The sequence below is a fragment of the Homo sapiens genome, chromosome 13 (assembly GCF_000001405.40).
Source record: "Homo sapiens chromosome 13, GRCh38.p14 Primary Assembly".
NCBI classification, from domain to species: domain Eukaryota; kingdom Metazoa; phylum Chordata; class Mammalia; order Primates; family Hominidae; genus Homo; species Homo sapiens.
Window position 1 is genome coordinate 113,482,051 of NC_000013.11, and position 19,303 is coordinate 113,501,353.

The window sequence follows — 19,303 nt, forward strand, 5'->3', positions numbered from 1 at the left end:
AAATATTGATCTACAATGCTCTGAGCTAATAAACCATCTCAGTAAATTTCATTACAACCGTGTTCAACATTTCAAGTAATTTTGCAAGTACTTGTTCATTTGTATATGTTAATGTCATAACCAATGTTATATTTGTCAACAGTCTTAGAACTACGTTTATTTTTAGAGCCTAAAGTGATTGTACCACGTTTCTACTTTAACTGAGTATAATTGCATGAATAAAGTTAAATAATAATGAAGGGATGAAGCTTCAATAACACCCAAAGACACAATTTTCCACTTATACACAAGTATTTTTTCAAAGGCTGCTGTATATATTTAAATAACTTTTAAAAATCTGCATAAAAATCAGCATATGACTTACAAAATTAGCTCAACAATTAACTTAGCCAAAAATTTTTAAAGTAGACTAAAGCTTAACTAAGAACAATTTTCATTCTTTGGGAACTACAATAAGTACAAACCTGGTTTGTTTTACCACTGACTATGTTTCTGAGCCAAGATTTTTTAAAGCAATTTTCAACTCACTTTTCAGACCTAAAAAGAAAGACTAAAGCACACACACAGTATTTTAAAAAGTAAAAAACGAAAGTAATAAATAAACAAGAACTTGGCTGGGTGCGGTGCCTCATGCCTGTAATCCCAGCACTTTGGGAGGCCGAGGCGGGTGGATCATGAGGTCAAGAGATTGAGACCATCCTGGCCAACATGGTGAAACCCCGTCTCTACTAAAAATACAAAAATTAGCTGGGCGTGGTGGCATGCACCTGTAGTCCCAGCTACTTTGGAGGCTGAGGCAGGAGAATCGCTTGAATGTGGGAGGCAGAGGATGCAGTGAGCCGAGATCATACCACTGCACTCCAGCCTGGTGACAGAGCAAGACTCCGTCACATAAACACACACACACACAGACAACAATAAACAAACAAACAAGAACTTAAAGCCAAGGAAATTATTGTATATTTGGGCTAACACTTGTTTAAATGAGAGTCAGGGCTTGGTTTTGTTTTAAAGTTTTAGAAAACTTAGCCTTAAAAACTGCTAGAAAGAAAAAGCAAAATAAGTCAGCTCTTAGACTGCTGCCTGTCCCTCTGCATTGGACATGAAATTTAAAGCCTGCAGAGGGGCGTGGATCTGCGTATGCTCATCACGGCAGTCTCAGTTCAAGGCACATTTTGACAAGAAGCATTTTGACAAGAAGCTCCGATCCAAGCACTGATGTCAATAAAAATCACAATCTGCAACAAAAAGTTTCTTTGCTGCGAGCTTTTCCCAAAGCCTCTCTAATCACTGAAGCTATTTCAGGGCTGACACGCCACTACCCGGGCAAGGAAAACACTAAGGTTTACCCTCACTTCAGATCATCTTCATGATTTGCTGTTGTTCTTAACCTTCTCATCATCAATATTTCAGCCTAAATAGAAGTGCTTGAAAAAAATACTGTATTAACAGACACAGTCACGCCAAGACACCAAGCCTCCCAGCAGCAGCTTTTCCCTGACAGGCTGTGCAGCGTCAGACTCACCGCACAGAACAAGCGGGCACGGGCCTGGCCCTGCCCCATCGCTGACTCCACTCTTCTCGCCCTCCCCACCCCCACCAATCACAGTCCCAGCCCCATTTACACAGAAGCAAGTGGATTCTGCAGCTGAGCGCCGAGCGCTGAGCGTGGGGAGGAGAAGCAACGGCAGCCCGGAGACCTGCCCCGGCACCAGAACCCTGGAAGTGCAGCGCGCAGGCCGCTCGCGGAGGCCGACATCCGTCCGGCTTTGCTGCAGTCTCCTCTTACCTTTGTACCTGCCGTACAGCCGCTCCAGCTTCTTCTTGTCCACAGCGTTCCGCATGGACTCCCTGTGGAGCGAGTCTGGGTTTTGGAAGAAGCTGTCCGTGGCCTCGTCTAGTCTCCACTCATTCTGCGTTAAGCAGTAGATAGCAGTTCTCTCGCCAGCCTGAGTGCACGCCATAAACTGGCGGACCTTGTCCTTCTGAGACGATTTAAGCTTATGCTTTGGGATGCAAAAGAAGTAGGAAAGCCAATGAAGCCGCTCCAGGTTTGTCCCAGCTTTAGCCTAACGCCTGCACTTTAACTGGGCAGAATTAGAGACAAAGCCTTGCTCTTCATCAGTTACAAAGACTGCACAGTCTTCTGAAAATGGAAACAACAGCATCTATACTGTAACAAACAGGCAGTCTAAGCTTCAAAAATTATGAGAATTAACATTTTATACAAAATACATTCTGATCTCTATCCAGTTCACTCTGCATGAAGTGTGACTATCATTTTTCTCTAAAACTCTCAGTAACTCTGTAATGCACATCTAGCCTCTGAGGACACAGGGCAAGGACCTTACGGCACCAGCGGGGGTCACAGCTGCAGTCTTCTTTGGTTTCAATAAAGTTCAGGCTTTAATGAATGGGAAGAGGCTGTGCGGTTTGGAGATTTTTTTTCCCACTTTAAATCACAGAATCACATTGATGAAAATGTACACAAATAACTAAGAATAGCGTTAAAAGTAATTTATGAAAATTTCACAAGCAGGCACAAAAAAACCTGTTATGATTAAATGGAAACAATAATACTAATAACAAGAATGCCTCTGTATACCAGACAGAAATAAAATGAAAAAATAGGACAGAGGCTCTGGGCAGGCAATAAATAACAAAACTGCCAAATAGCTGTACTATATATAGTATATAATGAAACAAAGTAACATCTTGACACTTTCAGATATAGGAGGGCTGAGTTTCCACTTATCTAAAGTAACTTGATGATGTAATCCCAGCACTTTGGGAGGCTGAGGCGGATCACCTGAGGTCAGGAGTTCAAGACCATCCTGGCCAACATGGAGAAACCCCATCTCTACTAAAAATACAAAAATTAGCTGGGTGTGGTGGCATGCGCCTATAGTCCCAGCTACTTGGGAGGCTGAGGCAGGAGAATCACTTGAACCTGGGAGGTGGAGATTGCAGCGAGCTGAGATCGTGCCACTGCACTCCAGCCTGGGCGACAGGGCGAGACTCTATCTCAATAAATAAATAAATAAATAAATAAATAAATAAAGTAACCTGATAAAAGCAACACTGGAAAAGAAAGTGATACACTAACTTCTCTAAATCCAAACAGACCCTAGAATCCACTGGATGCTAACGTTTTACAAAAATGCTTTACACAATAATATAAGCAGGAAATTTTTTACTCAAAACGATTTATACTCAATCTTGTTCAAATAAAGATGAGACAACTTATAAAAACACATGGAATGATTTATAACATAACTTAACAAAAGTATATAGAAGGATAACAAGGTGTGGATAAGGAAGGGGTGCCATTAGTACAAGGACGTGCCTGTCACATGTAAGAGCTGGAAATCAGGCTCCAAGCTTCCCCAGTGCCACAGCAAAGAAAACACGATTAGTTAGGAAAATCCGTTTTCATAAGATCTAAAACCTTACCAGCAGCTCAGAAGTGGTACAGATACAGACCCTTCTGGCCTAAAACCTGAGGAAACGTCTTCTGCGGCTCCTCACAAAGTTCAATGTCCCCTCACACATACCAATTCCTCACCAAAATGCCAACCACGTACAGCAGAGCCAGCTTCCAGAAGTTTTTTTTTTTTTGAGACAGGCAATCAAAAAGCATGCTGATGCCAAAATACCAGAGGACGATTCTGCAGAGGCATTAAGATAACGCTGTCCAGATACATACTCTCCCGTGTGCATCTGGGATCCTGGGTCCTGAGGCCTTTCAGGAGTCCCACAGAACTACCTTCCCGAGCGTCCTAAGCCGCCACCAGCCTTGCTCACTCTCATTCTCACAGAGTGCACAGCAGAGGCCTCCGTGGGCTGCAAGGCCTGTGATATCACAGGAATGAACGCGAGATTCGAGAGCCTATCTTTTATCAAGCCAGACATTAAGATATTTGCAAAAATGTAATGGGTTTTTATTGCTAATTAACTATAGAAATATTTTAATACTATTTTAATTTCTAATATGGTCAATATTGATGACTATTACCCACACAAACAAGAACTCTCATTTAAGAATGACTGGGGTTCCAATCATTCTTAAAAACATATAGGAAATGTGCTACATATATACCATGGCATACTACATAGCCATAAAAAGGACCGAGATTGTGTCCTTTGCAGCAACATGGATGGAGCTGGAGGCCATTTTCCTAAGTGAACTGGCGCAGGAACAGAAAACCAAATGCCACATGTTCTCACTTGTAAGTGGGAGCTGAACACTGAGCAGGCGTGGACACAAAAAAGGACCAACAGACACCAGGGCCTGCTTGAGGGTGGCAGGAGGGAGAGGATCCCAAAACTACCCACCGGCTACTGTGCTTAGTACCTGGTTGACGACATAATCTGTACACCAACTCCCATGACACACAGTTGACCTTTATAACAAACCTGCACATGTACCCCTGAACCTAAAAGTTAGAAAACAAAAAACAAACCCAAAAACCACATCGAACTCCTGAGACTAAACACTTAAGAGAATGGCTAATTCAGGTGATGCTAGGCAATTAACATTTCGGCTACTCAAACAATGAGTGTTGAGCATTTGGGAGTCTTGGATCCCTTTTGGAATCTGAGGAGTCACAGGTCCGCCCTCCAGGAAAACATATATGGCCCTCACACGTGCAGGCAGCTTTGCATAAAATTTCAGGGGTTTCACAGATGGCTTAAGCCCATCTGCAAAGTCCTCACAAGGGGAAGGTAGAACTCAGATTAAGAACGGATGAAGAAGATCAGAAGCCTTCATTCAGCCAACTTTGTCTCTTAATGTTCCAGACAGCAGCCATCTCTGCCATCTCAGGCCTGTGGGTCTGTTGCCAAAGCAGACAGCCGTAGGCTGTGTTCCAATAAAACTCAATTTACAAAAACAGACAGCTAGCCTGTGGGCTGTAGTTTGCCGACCCCGATCTAGATTCTAGAGGAATAAATGGAATACATATTCACTACATTATTTCCTGAAACTGAGCTTTTGAAAAGAACTAAACAAAAAATTCAAGGTTGTATTCTCTGGTAAGATCAAATTTAGCTAAATTAAGGCAGATCCCATAGTCTCTGACCGTAAGCTGACAAAAGATACAGCTAGAGTCTTTTTATGAAGTTGACAGCCTTCCCAAGGGAGGGTGAGCAAAGCCAAGAATTACCTCAAAAACCTTAGGATAAAGACAGAAGTGCAGCCCCCAAAATGGTCCACCACCAGGAACAGCCATGACGCCCTTATTATGGAAGTGGTCATCGTTGCTAGATTTAAAAATCTGCCATGGTTATACAACAACATTTACTATATCCATATAACGGAACATAATTCGGCCATAAAAAGGAATGAAGTATTGATACATGCCACATGGATGAACTTTTGACACTGAGTAAAAGAAACCAGGCACAAGAAGCCACACAGTGTATGATTCCATCCACACAGCGCACGACTCCAGCTGCACAGTGTACGACTCCAGCCACAGTGCACGAGTCCAGCCACACGGTGCACGACTCCAGCCGCACAGTGCATGAGTCCAGCCGCACAGTGTGCGATTCCAGCCACACAGTGTACGATTTCACTTATATGAAATATCCAGAATGGGCACATCTATATAGAGAGAAAGGTGAGTGGTAGCCAGGGGCTGGGGCAAGGGAGGAGTTGGGAGTGACTGCTAATGGGTACAGTTATCGTTCGGGGTGACAAAAATGTTTTAGGACTAGATAGAGGTAGTGGTTCCACAAATTTGTGAACGTACTAAACACCACTGAATTGTACACTTTAAAATAGTTAATTTTATGTTATATGAATTTCACCTAAAAAAATTCAACATTGTACCCTCAGACCCTCCAAGACCAATCAGCAGACTAATATACTCTTCGGCGACTGAATTATTTAACCAGCATTATACAACTGATGACTCCACACCAGGAATGTGCAAATCTGGAAGATATGATGGTGTCTGATCTTGAGCTCCTGCCGATAACCCCTTGAAGCCTCCCCTAATGTGTGACAACACCATAACACCAGCAGCCTAATTTCTTGGAACTCTAGAAGAACAGATGCAGGAGCACATGGATCCAGGCCACTCAAAATGGCTTTGAATCACTACTGTTAGCTAGAGTGGACAGAAGTCGGTATCCAGAAACACGAAGAGCCCCCTGCAATCTACTCAAATTGTCTGATGTCACAAGATACTCCAGTAAACCCTGAACCACACGGTGGTGCCAAGGCACTGGTTCTGAAGGAGCAAGAGAAGCTTTGGGGTCTAGGCTTAGTCCATTAACAGGCCTCTGGTCAGTCAACAAAGCTGCAATCATTTGATGTCACCCCTTACAGGTTTCTCCATAAAATAACAGTGATTAAAGCAATGATCGATAGCTAAGTCTAAAGACTAGGTGCTTCATGTCCAAAAGTGACTGAGAGACCCAAGTTACCTCTTGTGAAAAAGGGAACTGGCATAAAGCTTCTTAGGAAACAAAAAGGCTCGTCAACTAAAAAACTACAGGGGAGAGAAGGAAGCCGAGTCCCTCTAGACAGGACTAAACCCAGATCAAATTTACAAAGGCCCAGACATTGGCAGTAAGCTTTGAGTGCACCAAGAGAGGACTGAACCCAGGTCAAATTAACAAAGGCCCAGACGTTGGCAAGAAGCTTCGAGTGCACCCAGACAGGACTGAACCCAGGTCAATCTAATCAAGGTGGATACACTGGAACTAGGGCCGCCCTTCAAGCTCACAACCTTCACTGAGGCTTACCACATCATGCAAATTAAATTATTAAGGCCAGCTTTTAAAGTGTGTACATGGGGTGGGGGGAAGGCATTTTCTAGGTTTCATTATTTCTGTTAAAATGTACACAATTCTTGAAATAAAAATCTGGACAATCCAGTGGAAACAGCAAATAAAATCTCTAAACTATAAAAAAGTCTCAAACACTTTAATTGTGACCTTGTGAAATACGACTCATATAATCTGGCACCAAGGATACCCATATGTAAAATGGAAAGAAATTACTCTTAAAATGTCCTTAGGGTCAACTTACCCGGGGCTGGCGGGCCAATCATGTTGATCGAATAAACTACGTAAGTTTATGGATCACTTTCACTCTGTTTCGGTATACAGCACGCTAGAGGGAGGGGGAGTTAAATTCATCCCTGCTCTTGGATCTCCAACCTCGGCAGCAGTGGAACGCTCCTCTCCAGCATCCTGAACATGTTCAAGTTTTCCCCAAACTAAGTTCCTGTCCACTCTGCCCCTGTCCTCCTAAAAGCTGGAGCAAGCTATCTCTACCTGCCCAGGTGTGCATCCTAACTCAGGCTACCTGGCTCCAGCCCGGCCTCCGCAGTGACCCCTAAAGGTCACAAAAGCTCGGCTGCTGCGGTCAGTGGGATCTTTTCAGCTGCTCTTTTGTTCAGCACTGCTGATGGCTCCCTCCTCCTTTAAACTCCATCCTCTTGGTTTCGACACATTCTAGTGTCCTGGTTTCTCCTACCAGCCCCCTCTCAGTCTCCTTTGTGGCTCTTCTCCCATCCTGAAGCTTGTCCTCACCCTCCACTCCCCTCTACACGTTACCGTGTCCCTTCTCCGGTGGCTCTCTGTGCCTTAGCCAGGACAATCTTTCAGCTCCTATACGTCATCATCGCCTACCACTAAGGGTCTGTGCATTCTGTTTCTTCTGCCTGGAGCCGCACACGGCTGGCTGCCCCGGAACCTCACTTTTTCTCTGGCTAATTTCCAGAGAAATTCTCCACAGTTCAACTCACACCCTCAGCATCTGACACCACTCCCACAGCCGCATCCTACAAGTTCCTGGAACCCGTGCCTTAGCCTTTGTCCCAACTGTGGTCAAACAATTGTGCATCTGGTGCCTGTCTCCCCTGCTGGGGCATCAACTCCCTCAACGCCAAGATCATGCCTGGCCCAGCACCAGTCACACCCAGCAGCACCTTGCTGGCCTCTGAACCGATGTGGACTGAATAAATCCCATCCATCACCATTTCCACCACATTTCAAAGTAACTGATGTGCACCTCCAGCAGCCTCCCTCCTGCGCTGCGGAACTCTACCAGCTCCACAGATGCACACCTACAGCCACGCTACAGCTCCCGGCTAGAGCCCGCGCTAGGGCCCCGCTGTGCCTCTCCCTCCCCTCCCGGCAGCAGGGCCTCCCCCGCGAATCTGAGCTTCTCGCGGATTCCTTCCTTGCGCTGTTTTGGTCAACAGCCTCAGCATCTGCACAGACGCCCGCAGGAGCAGCCGAGCCCTCGCCCGCCTCGACTGCCCGTTTCGAAGCCGCCCTGGGAAGCCCCCGGCCTGGGTTCCCGCTCGGCCCCGGCCCCTGCCCCAAGGCCCCTACAGTTCCTCCCGGCCCCCGCCCTCCGCTCACTCCCGGTCGTCCCTCGCGGCTCCGGGTCAAACCCGCGCTCCCCGCGGTCCCGCGCCTCCGACGCCACCGCTCCGGCTCGCGGGCCCGCGGCGCGTTCCTCCCTCGGATCCACGCGGAACGCCCCGCGCAGCTCGCTGGGCTCGGCCTCCCACATCCAGCGCGCCGCCTGCGCCGACCTTGGGGCCCGACCCCGACCCCGACCCCGACGGGCAGAGGCGACGCCGGGCCACCTACCATCTCCCCCGCGCCGCCCGCTTCTGGCCGGCCCCGGCCTTCTGCGCAGGCGCGGCGGCGGCTCCGCCCTCGTCCTCGGACGGCCGCGGCCCTCGGCTCCGGGGCAGTGCCGGGAGCCGGCCGCGGGGACTCCCACTCCCGGCATGCTCAGCGCCGCCCGGGGGCCCACGGGAGCTCGCGCCCCACAGCCCCTGCGCGTCCAGCCCTCTGCGAGGGCCTTGGCTCGCCCCTGCGGGGTCCAACGCCAGCCTGCGGCTGCCAGGCCCCACGCCGGCCAGGAAGTGCTCGCCGCCCGCGGCCGACGGGACCCGCCCACGCCCCGCCTCTTAAAGGGGGCAGTGACTGCGGCTGGGCGGGAGTCCGGGTCGGCTTGGCTGAGCGGGGGCGGTGCTGGGCAGGGCGGCGGCCGCTCCCTCCCGGACTCCCGGCCTCCCGGCCTCCCTGGTCCCGCCTGGGAAGGGATGCAAGGAAGCCCTCCGGCGCTGCGCTCCGAGGCGGGAGACAGCGTCCCCCTCCGCCCCTCGGGTCCTGGCGCCTCAGAGCCCGGCCCAGGCCGCGGAACGGTGATGCTCGGGCCGGACGGGCGGGCGCGGATCCCTGCGTCCCGGTGAGCACCAGGCCCGTCCATCCGGGGCTCTTTCCCGGGGTCCCCTTCCTTCCCTCCCTCCCTGGGGCTCCCCTCCCCTCTCTCCCTCCCCGGGGCTCACCTTCCCTTCTTCCCTTCCCAAGGGTCCCCTTCCTTCCTTCCCTCCCTCCCTGGGGCTCCCCTCTCTCCCTCCCCGGGGCTCCCATTCCCTTCTTCCCTTCCCAGGGGTCCCCTTCCTTCCTTCCCTCCCTCCCTGGGGCTCCCCTCCTCTCTCTCCCTCCCTGGGGCTCACCTCCCCTCTCTCTCTCCTCGGGGCTCCCCTTTTCTTGCAGGTATTGTCTCCCGGGGTCGGGTGGTCTGTGTGGCCTGGGGTCCCGCTCCTCCAGGCCTTGCCTAGGCGCTCTTCGCTGAGGCCCACGTTCTAACCTGGAATGGAACCTGCGTTCCCACCCTGGCCGCCCGGGTGGACTCGGGGCCTCCAGGGCCGGCCGCAGAGATGCAGCCCTGTCCCTGGCCCCCCTCCTGTGACTCCTAACGGCTCCTCACGGTGTCCATGACCCAGGGTGTGGACGCCTGCGCGGGGGAAGCAAGACCGCTGCGTATCGGGTCCCTATTCACTGCCTGTTTTTCTGATTATTCTGTCTTCCAAATTTATCTTATTTACCGGCTTTTTCAAAAGGAGTGTCTTAATGATTGGATTACTTGTGAAATATTTGTAGTTTTTTTCTCCTACAGGCTTGACTTAAATATTCTAAAGCTTTTTTGTGGTTGTTGAGACAGAGTTTTGCTGTCGCCCAGGCTGGAGTGCAGTGGCTGGTCAAGGCTCAAGCGATTCTCCCGCCTCAGCCTCCCCAGGAGCTGGGGCCACAGGGAGCATCACGCCCGGCTAATTATTTCATTTTTAATAGAGACAGGGTCTTGCTGTGTTGCCCAGGATGATCTCCAACTCCTGACCTCAAGCAGTTCGCCCACCTCAGCCTCCCAGAGCGCTGGGAATACAGATAATTGTGTCGTAATACAGCAGTGGCATTAACCACCGCACCTGGTCTTAGGTAGAATTTGAAAACCTTTTTATTTTGAGATGGTTGTAGATCACATGAAGTTGTAAGGAGTAATACAGAGAAATCCTACAGAGTGCCTTTGCCCTGTTTTCTCCAATGGTAGCACCTTGCAAAACCATAGTATATGTGGGGAATTTTCTTTGATCAAATCCCCTGACCTGTTGAGATTGCACCAACTATACATGCACTAGTGAGTGTGAATCTACACCTGTGTGTCTTCTCAATAAAATTGAGATTTTTTTTCACTCAGCCTTGAGATACATCCGCATTGTTATGTGTATCAATTGCTCAAGATGCAGAAATTCTAAGAATTCATTATTTAAAAAGTAATCCCAGCACTTTGGGAGGCTGAGGTGGGTGGATCACCTGAGGTCAGGAGTTTGAGACCAGCCTGGCCAACATGGCAAAACACCGTCTCTACTAAAAATACAAAAATTAGCTGGGTGTGGTGGCGAGCGCCTGTAATTCCAGCTACTTGGGAGGCTGAGGCAGGAGAATTGCTTGAACCCGGGAGGCAAAGGTTGCAGTGAGCTGAGATCACAACACTGCACTCCAGCCTGGGTGACAAGAGCAAAACTCCGTCTCAAACAGCAACAACAACAAAAAAAACACATTACAGGAATCCAAAGTGTCTTTTTAATAACTAGAACAGCTAAAGATGTTTACTAATTTGCTCAAAAAACATGCTACAATTTAGTAGTCAGTAGGATTTTGGAGGCAAGTTTGAAGATAAAATGAAATGAGTTTGAATAAAGGTGATTTGTATTTTAAGGGTCCATAAATAATTTCAGTTTCATGTTATGAGTATGTTTCAGTGGGAAATTTTAGTATAACTACAACTAAAATCCTCAAAGGTTTCTCATAAAAATTATAGCTCCCTTAGAGGGACAACTAATTTTAGGAACCTGATTGAGGAAGGAACCAGAAATGAACATAGAGGTGTCATTCACACATGAGCTGTGTTGAAACTTATTTTTCTGAAGCATAAAATCCATCAAAGAATCACTTTTTGGGATCTTTTGGGGAAACTGGGAAGTGTAAGCAAAGCATCTCAGATTTCTGTCTTGGTTCTGGAAAATACTAAAAGTTCACTTGTGAAGTAGCTGTTGATTTATTTAGCTCCGTTGGACCAACCGAGAGAAGCTTAGCAGTTGAGTGAGTCATTAAAATAACAGCTCAGCTATATGGCTAGGCATGACTAAGTGATTGCCTCATTGTTTGTTTTTAAGGTGGTAAATGTGTACTTAAAGTTGTACACGTGTACTTAAAGTTGTATTGAAACTAACATAAAATTGAGTGATTGGAACAGCACATTATCATTTATCCTATCTTGTTAGGAAGTTACCTGTTCTAGGTAAGTGAATTCTCTGTGGAGTGTGCTTCTCCTTTTGGGAGTCAGTCTCCAAGAATGTTTTGAATTGAACACTTTCTAACCAGAATATAGTCTTTTCTTGGTGACTTTTGCTTGTAATTCTGATCAGTACTGTTGTCTAACACAGTACTGTCTTCAGGACCTGCTGGGGTGCAGACAGTCGCTGAGCCTTCACCGAGTCATCTGGCCTCCAGGCTTTTTTAGTTCTCCTGTTTGTTTTGCATAAGGTTTGTCTCTTTCTGTGGCTGCCATTTCATGGTTTGGGCAGAATGCTGCCTCCAGAAATGCTGCCCTTACTTTTGCTGCATCTAACCTACTTTGCCTGGGAAACTCGATTAAACCAATTAGAATTTGGGTTAGCAGTGAAATGAAAGTATAGATATATAGATACATCTTTTAGTAACCAGGTTTCCAGGTCGGGGAATCTTTGTAATATGTGATGGTTGAGTAGGAATTCCTGAGTAACAGTCCATTGGATGCTGCTATGAAGAATGGTTAGGTTAATATTTTGTTGTTGTTTACTTTAAACTGTAAATCTGCGTAAGTGGTAGGTGTTGGTTTTGTTGCCTTTTTTGGGATAGCTACTTGTGACTGGTGATCTCCTAGTGGCCAAATTCCACGGACTCTACGTTTATTACTCCTTCCTTCCACGGTCTCGGTTTCCCACCTCTCAGCTCGTTCTGCCTTAGTGACCTTTGCTGGCCGCTGTCTCATCCTGCTTTCTGAACAGTGCTCCTGTCTGGGTGCCTTGCCCTACCCCTGCTCATCACCACCTGGACACCACGGCTACAGCCGCACTGAAACCGTCCTCATTCCCCCAGCAGTAATGTTCAGAAAGCAGGTTCCTGTCTGTGCTGTGCCTTGCCAGGATAAATTAATATACATTGTTTTAGGTATTCCTAAAGAAAGGAAGAGAAGGAGACTGAATTGGGATGATAACAAAAAGTTCTAGAGATCTAGGTATTGTGGCATATATATATATATATTTTTAATTCTTGACATCTTGGTAGCACTTGACTGTAGACTGACTTTGGAAATGTGGCAACATTTCAAATGATTTTAAGAAGCCTGCAGAGCTAACAGTAGCTCAGAAGATTTCGTTTCTGGAGTGACGTTGAGCATGGTGTCCCCAAGCAACCCAGTGACCTGTGAGGGGAAGTTGATGGTATTTTCTGGGCTTCGATAACATGGACTTTCTGTTTTTGTTTTTTTTTTGAGACAGAGTTTTGCTGTTGTTGCCCAAGCTGGAGTACAATGGCGTGATCTGGGCTCCCTGCAACGTCCGCCTCCCGGGTTCTAGCGATTAGTAGCTGGGATTACAGGCGTGCGCCACCAGGCCCATATTTTTAGTAGAAACAGGGTTTCACCATGTTAACCAGGCTGGTCTTGAACTCCTGACCTCAGGTGATCTGCCTGCCTTGGTCTCCCAAAGTGCTTGGGATTACAGGCATAAGCCACCATGCCCAACCAACATGGACTCTCTTAAATAGACTTGGTTAATGTCTTTTGCACATGGTGGAGTTGGTAGAGATACGAGGCTGCGTCGCCCCCCAAAAAAATGACCTTTAATCCTTTCTATAAAGATGTAGCTGACCTTTAATCATCTCAGCCCTTCACAAAGCACCATACAAGGTACATCAACATTCAGTATTTGATTTTAATCTCAGTGAAATAAATAGTTTAGATGTTGATATTTATCTAGGAAAAATGAGAATTTCTTCAGAAAGGTGTCAGTTTTTCAGATCTGATTATTTAATACTCTGATCAATAGTAATGAATCATTGTTTAACTATGTGTGACAATAACTCTTTTTCAGCTGAAAATGTGTGTCTGACATGCAAGCTCAGTGGGGCAGAGACCCGTGGATTGCTGTGCCCTGCCCTCCGGACCTGGATCATGAAGGTGTTGGGAAGAAGCTTCTTCTGGGTGCTGTTTCCCGTCCTTCCCTGGGCGGTGCAGGCTGTGGAGCACGAGGAGGTGGCGCAGCGTGTGATCAAACTGCACCGCGGGCGAGGGGTGGCTGCCATGCAGAGCCGGCAGTGGGTCCGGGACAGCTGCAGGAAGCTCTCAGGGCTTCTCCGCCAGAAGAATGCAGTTCTGAACAAACTGAAAACTGCAATTGGAGCAGTGGAGAAAGACGTGGGCCTGTCGGATGAAGAGAAACTGTTTCAGGTGCACACGTTTGAAATTTTCCAGAAAGAGCTGAATGAAAGTGAAAATTCCGTTTTCCAAGCTGTCTACGGACTGCAGAGAGCCCTGCAGGGGGATTACAAAGATGTCGTGAACATGAAGGAGAGCAGCCGGCAGCGCCTGGAGGCCCTGAGAGAGGCTGCAATAAAGGTCAGTCCTAGAGAGGGAGAGAGAGAGAGAGGGAGAGGGAGAGAGAGGTGAAGAGAGAGGGAGAGTGCGTGCCCACATCCTCATCCTAGAGACAGCCCACACGGAGCTGGGGAGCAGACAGGAAGGGAAGGCGTGAATGCTGCTGATGTCGCTCAGGTGTTGTCTTTCACAGGAAATCGCATCTAGAAAAATCTCTCATGTGAGGGAGAATCTTTTCCTTTTGCATAATAGTGTAGCTCTTACTTCTAGAAGGAGCCAGTCTCATACTTTTCTCTATAGAGAAATCCCCTGGTAATTCAAAAAGTTATTCAAGTTGTACTAGTAAACTGATGCAAAGATAAATATAACTTAAATCAACATTTGCTGAGTTTCTGACAGGAGTTCCTTTTAGTGTGAAGTTTGACTTTTCTTCAGTGTCATATATCGAAAATAAAAATACTAAAATTAGTTTTAAACTAATATATACATTTGAATTAAGGACTTTGACCAAGTATGCTTTTAAAATGATGGGAAGTTTCTGAAATTACTGTATCAGATGTTGTATTAGCTGTTTACATTTTTTAAAGCCATCATTTCTTGAGTACCTCTACTATACCAAGCATCATGCCAAGCCCTTTAAATATATAAAGTATCACGTCATCTTCATAGAAAAACCTGTGATATTATTACACAGCATAAACGTTAGAGAAAATACAGACATTAAACTTTCTTTACCAAAATATATTTTGGGGGAGAGAAATATGATTATCAGGCAAATGTATAAATCAAGGTTTTCAATAACACTGATTCATTTGTCTTGCCTGTGTGATATGTGCATGAGCTACTGTGACCCTGTGTACAGTGGAGACGTGAAGATACATTGGTAAGGTCCAGATTTGTGGTGGTTTTATTATAGAGAAAAAACATGAGTTTGAGTAACATTGGCTCCTGGTATGCACACTTCATAACATATCAACAGTATTTTAACATATGCTAGTTATTATCTCCTATGCTGAGATTCTCCAGGTGCCGGTGACCTGCAGCTATACTAGCCCTCCAGTTGCGTGCTTGACCTGCAGCTGTGTGTCAGACCTGCAGCTGTGTGATAGACCTGCAGCTGTGTGTCAAGTCTGCAGTTGTGTGTCAGTCAAACCTGCATCTCTGTGATAGGCCCCAGCTGTGTGCTAACACCTGTAGCTGTGTGTCAGGTCTGCTTTGGTGTGCTAGACTTGCAGCTGTGCATGAGACCTGCAGCTATGTGAGACCAGCTGTGTGCAAGACCTGCAGCTGTGTGTGAGATCTGCAGCTGTGTGCAAGACCTGCAGCTGTGTGTGAGATCTGCAGCTGTGTGAGACCTGCAGCTGTGTGTGAGACCAGCTGTGTGTGAGACCTGCAGCTGTGTGAGACCTGCAGCTCTGTGTGAGACCAGCTGTGTGTGAGACCTGCAGCTGTATGAGACCTGCAGCTGTGTGAGACCTACAGCTGTGTGAGACCTGCAGCTGTGTGAGACCTGCAGCTGTGTGTGAGACCTGCAGCTGTGCGAGACTTGTAGCTGTGTGAGACCTGCAGCTGTGTGAGACCTGCAGCTGTGTGAGACCTACAGCTGTGTGAGACCTGCAGCTGTGTGAGTCTTGCAGCTGTGTGAGAGACCTGCAGCTGTGTGAGACCTGCAGCTCTTTGTCAGTGGCATCAGATGATGTCTCATGACTACTTAGTAATTGAGGCGATGATGTTCTTCTAGGCTCTGGTCCTCTCTGCTCTGGCCTTGTCCCACCCCTTTAGCTAAGAATAAATGTTTAAAAGTAAGATTATTGATTAAATATAATTGTGTAAAATACATTACTAAATTATATTGCCAGCATCATCCATCAGTTCTTCAAATGATTAATGCTGTTGGTTTCTACATGTGTTTTGGAACAGCTTTCCCTTGTAACTTGAATTTGACTGTGCATTGCATTTAGATAGTAGCTCCACATTCAGGTCTCACATCTGGTTTTAAAGTACCGCTGCACTCACACACATGATAGACCTGGAGCACAGTCACTGTTGAGTAAATGAGTTTTGTGTGAATGGATGACCTACAGATATTACATTTACTTTTGTGTAACAAATGTTTCTTACGTGTGTTGATGTACGTACACAAAAACCTTTCCCTAAACATTTGGCTAAGCTCAGTTATGTTTGAATAACTAGGACACGTGACTTCCCTAGCTGACCAGAATTAAGTTATTGACATATGAACAGGGACATTTGACAAAGCAGGAGGATTGATTAAGAAAGTCATGTCCTAGCTTATTTCTTAATATATCTCACTCTTCTTTTCTTACAAATGAATAGGAAGAAACAGAATATATGGAACTTCTGGCAGCAGAAAAACATCAAGTTGAAGCCCTTAAAAATATGCAACATCAAAACCAAAGTTTATCCATGCTTGACGAGATTCTTGAAGATGTAAGAAAGGCAGCGGATCGTCTGGAGGAAGAGATAGAGGAACATGCTTTTGACGACAATAAATCAGTAAGCGTTCCAGAACAGCTGCTTCTTCACCTCCTGAGCCACTCACTAATCAGAAGACATGTTGTTGAAATTGTTCACGTGTATGTTTTTAATGTAGATTGAAAATGAAGACAAACTAAAATGCTTCTCTGTCGTAGAGAAAATAATTTGGTCTTGTAGAAGTAAGCTAATTATCTTTTATTTTCCTTTTATATTTTTAACACCGACAGTCAGTTCCCCTCCTCAGCAGCTTGTCTGCATTTTCCAGAGGCCAGATGGATTGGGACACTGGGACTCTAGTCTCAGGACAGCCTGGACAGTTGGGTTTAATGCTGATCTACTGGGGTGTTACCAGAAACAGGTCCTAATCCAGACCCCAAGAGAGAGTTCTTGGATCAGGGGTAGTCCATAGAGTAAAGTGAAAGCAAGTTTATTAAGAAAGTAAAGAAACAAAACAATGGCAACTCCATAGGCGAGCAGCCCTGTGGGTTATTTTTATGATTATTTCTTGATTACATGCTAAGCAAGGGGTAGGTTATTCATGAATTTTCTGGGAAAGGGGTGGCGGTTTACTAGAACAGAGGGTTCCTCCCATTTTAGACCACATAGGGTAACTTCCAGATGTTGCCATGGCATTTGTAAGTTGTCATGGCGCGGGTGGGAGTGTCATTCCACATGCTAATGGATTATAATTAGTATATAGTGAGCAGTGAGGACGAGCAGAGGTCACTCTCATTGCCATCTTGGTTTTGGTGGGTTTTGGCTGGCTTCTCTACTGCATCTTGTTTTGTCAGCGGGGTCTTTGTGGCCTGTATCTTGTGATATCAGTCTTGGCGACCTCCTGTCTCACCCTGTGACTAAGAATGCCTGTCCCGGACATGCAGCCCAGTAGGTTTCATCCTCATTTTACCCTGCTCATATTCAAGATGGAGTCGCTCTGGTTTGAACACCTGTAACAGGGGAACATTGAACTTCTTATAGAAAATGATCTTCATCTCTGAAGCAGGAATTCAGGCTGCTCATTTGTTGTAGTGTGTTTAAGATTCTAAGAAAAAAAGTGGGACTGATGACGAAAATTGACTGTGGGTCTTGAGGACTCACAAAAAGGTTGGGTAATAAAAACAAATCAGAATAAGATTAGAAAAGAAAGCAGAGAGAATAAAAATAGAGCAGAAGAAACAAGTTGTTTTAAAATCTACTAGTTATGGAATTAGAGGAGAACTCGTATTTTAAGGGCTATGAATTTCTTGAAAGAATGGTGAAGTAGATCTTGGAAAGTAGCAGAAATCCTAAACCTATCCATTCTTAAATTACTTCTTTAATTGAAAAAGAAGTCCTAATTCACTGCTAATGAACACTGATTGATGTATTTTTAACATTCTTCTGTTTAGCGTTCATTCTCCAAAAATTGAAAGCATTTAATGGATTTTAATTGCATAATATTATTATTCTTGCAGGTCAAGGGGGTCAATTTTGAGGCAGTTCTGAGGGTGGAGGAAGAAGAGGCCAATTCTAAGCAAAATATAACAAAACGAGAAGTGGAGGATGACTTGGGTCTTAGCATGCTGATTGACTCCCAGAACAACCAGTATATTTTGACCAAGCCCAGAGATTCAACCATCCCACGTGCAGATCACCACTTTATAAAGGTAGTGAGTCATGGTGGGGATGCCTGCCTTCCCCCAATTCCTGGTTCATGGTGTCAGTATGACCGAGCTTTATCTTCTGAACAAGGCACAGCCTTCCTTCTAGCAGAGATTTTACTAGAATTCCGTACATTATCTGTGATTTGAGGCATCTTCCCTTAATTTCTAATCTTTTTTTCTAAAGGAATAAGATACTTTAATATTTAAAATGAAAGTTAATTTTGTTTTGGAGAATTTGGAAGACTTTGAAATTAGGAGTTACTGTAATGGGATTAAAGCTTTAGTCATCTAAAAACCATTTTCACTAAAATTAAAAATCCTTAAAAGGCAGAGAGGTCTTGGCTAAGGAGTCATATATGGCTTCATTTAGCCCTGGGGTGCAGAGCATGAGAACCCATCCAGCAGTGCCTGGCGTTCCAGATGGAACTGGATTCAGACCTGTTTCCTCCCAGGAACTTGGTCTAGACAAAGGCTATGCAGGGAGGTACTTGAAGCTGAGAGCATCATGGTTCGGGTGGTCACTCAGGAGGGAGTGGCACGACCATGACAGGTGCAGCCCCTCAGGGAAGCTTGGCAAGATCTGATATACTGTCAGGTCTCCAGCAGAGACTGGAGGTTTGTACAGGAGCAGAAACCAAGCCAGAGAATCTAGGCTCAAAGACGGTGCTATCTCAGGCGAGAGGAAGAGGACTAGCCAGAGAGAGATGTGGTCACGATGGAGTGGGTCCCAGGAGGGCTGGGGCTGCCGAGTGACTCTGTCAGTGCCCTCCAAGAAGGGGTGGAGGTATCTGTAAAACTATTCTTTCTCCCTTTGTAATGAATAATCAATTTCCAGGGAGAGATTTTGAGACTGTAAGTATCCTGCTCCTCACTGACCTTCAGGGCTGCAGGTGCAGCAGTGCCAGCGCCCACTAAAGATTCCTGCCTGCACCCGTCATGGCAAAGCCACGTGAATTACAGTTTGGACACCAGCACTGAGAGTTTCCCAGATTAGAAAACTCAGTGGAATTCTAGGACTCAGAATTCTTAGAACACTCTTATGGGGCTTAAGCAAAACAAAAACTTTGCTGTATAGTCAGCCCTCTGTGTCCACGTGCTCTGCATCCTCAGATTCAACCAACTGTGGATGAAAATATTCAGAAAAAAGACCCAAGAATAACAATACAATAAAAATACAAATAAAATATGACATCAATTTCCATTGTGT

At 46.1% G+C, this 19,303-nt stretch overlaps 2 protein-coding genes across 39 annotated transcripts in view, besides 2 other annotated features; one reads left to right on the forward strand and one right to left on the reverse strand.

Annotated features, from left to right (window-relative positions):
- Positions 1 to 9,513, reverse strand: part of DCUN1D2 (defective in cullin neddylation 1 domain containing 2) — a 35,745-nt gene extending 26,232 nt beyond the window's left edge. For 2 of the 9 annotated variants that reach the window (XR_007063687.1, NM_001014283.2), the window contains exons 1-2: positions 8,617 to 8,661; positions 1,790 to 2,006 (exon numbers count right to left, since the gene is read on the reverse strand). Coding sequence is in view for 7 of the 9 variants with exons in the window: in NM_001014283.2 (NP_001014305.1) it covers positions 1,790 to 2,006; positions 8,617 to 8,619 (220 nt within the window). In the remaining 2 variants the exon portion in view is untranslated. Of the gene's footprint in view, positions 1 to 1,789; positions 2,147 to 3,453; positions 8,337 to 8,382; positions 8,662 to 9,494 lie in introns of those variants that run through there. The other 7 variants (XM_017020647.2, XM_017020644.2, XM_017020643.2 and 4 more) reach the window with 7 other exon arrangements.
- Positions 7,832 to 8,131: an enhancer, noted in NCBI's record as "active region_8039". NCBI's record gives its function as "activates an Ori minimal core promoter by ATAC-STARR-seq in GM12878 lymphoblastoid cells {active_cell/tissue: GM12878}" and the evidence as "EXISTENCE:reporter gene assay evidence [ECO:0000049][PMID:35858748]".
- Positions 8,362 to 9,281: a silencer, noted in NCBI's record as "silent region_5548". NCBI's record gives its function as "represses an Ori minimal core promoter by ATAC-STARR-seq in GM12878 lymphoblastoid cells {active_cell/tissue: GM12878}" and the evidence as "EXISTENCE:reporter gene assay evidence [ECO:0000049][PMID:35858748]".
- SLC9D1 (solute carrier family 9 member D1) overlaps positions 8,971 to 19,303 on the forward strand; it is a 59,209-nt gene continuing 48,876 nt past the window's right edge. For 13 of the 30 annotated variants that reach the window (XR_007063685.1, XM_047430399.1, XM_047430404.1 and 10 more), the window contains exons 1-4: positions 11,579 to 12,595; positions 13,452 to 13,975; positions 16,292 to 16,471; positions 17,908 to 18,099. Coding sequence is in view for 27 of the 30 variants with exons in the window: in XM_047430399.1 (XP_047286355.1) it covers positions 12,568 to 12,595; positions 13,452 to 13,975; positions 16,292 to 16,471; positions 17,908 to 18,099 (924 nt within the window). In the remaining 3 variants the exon portion in view is untranslated. Of the gene's footprint in view, positions 12,596 to 13,107; positions 13,268 to 13,451; positions 13,976 to 16,291; positions 16,472 to 17,907; positions 18,100 to 19,303 lie in introns of those variants that run through there. The other 17 variants (NR_146222.2, NR_146221.2, NM_017905.6 and 14 more) reach the window with 7 other exon arrangements.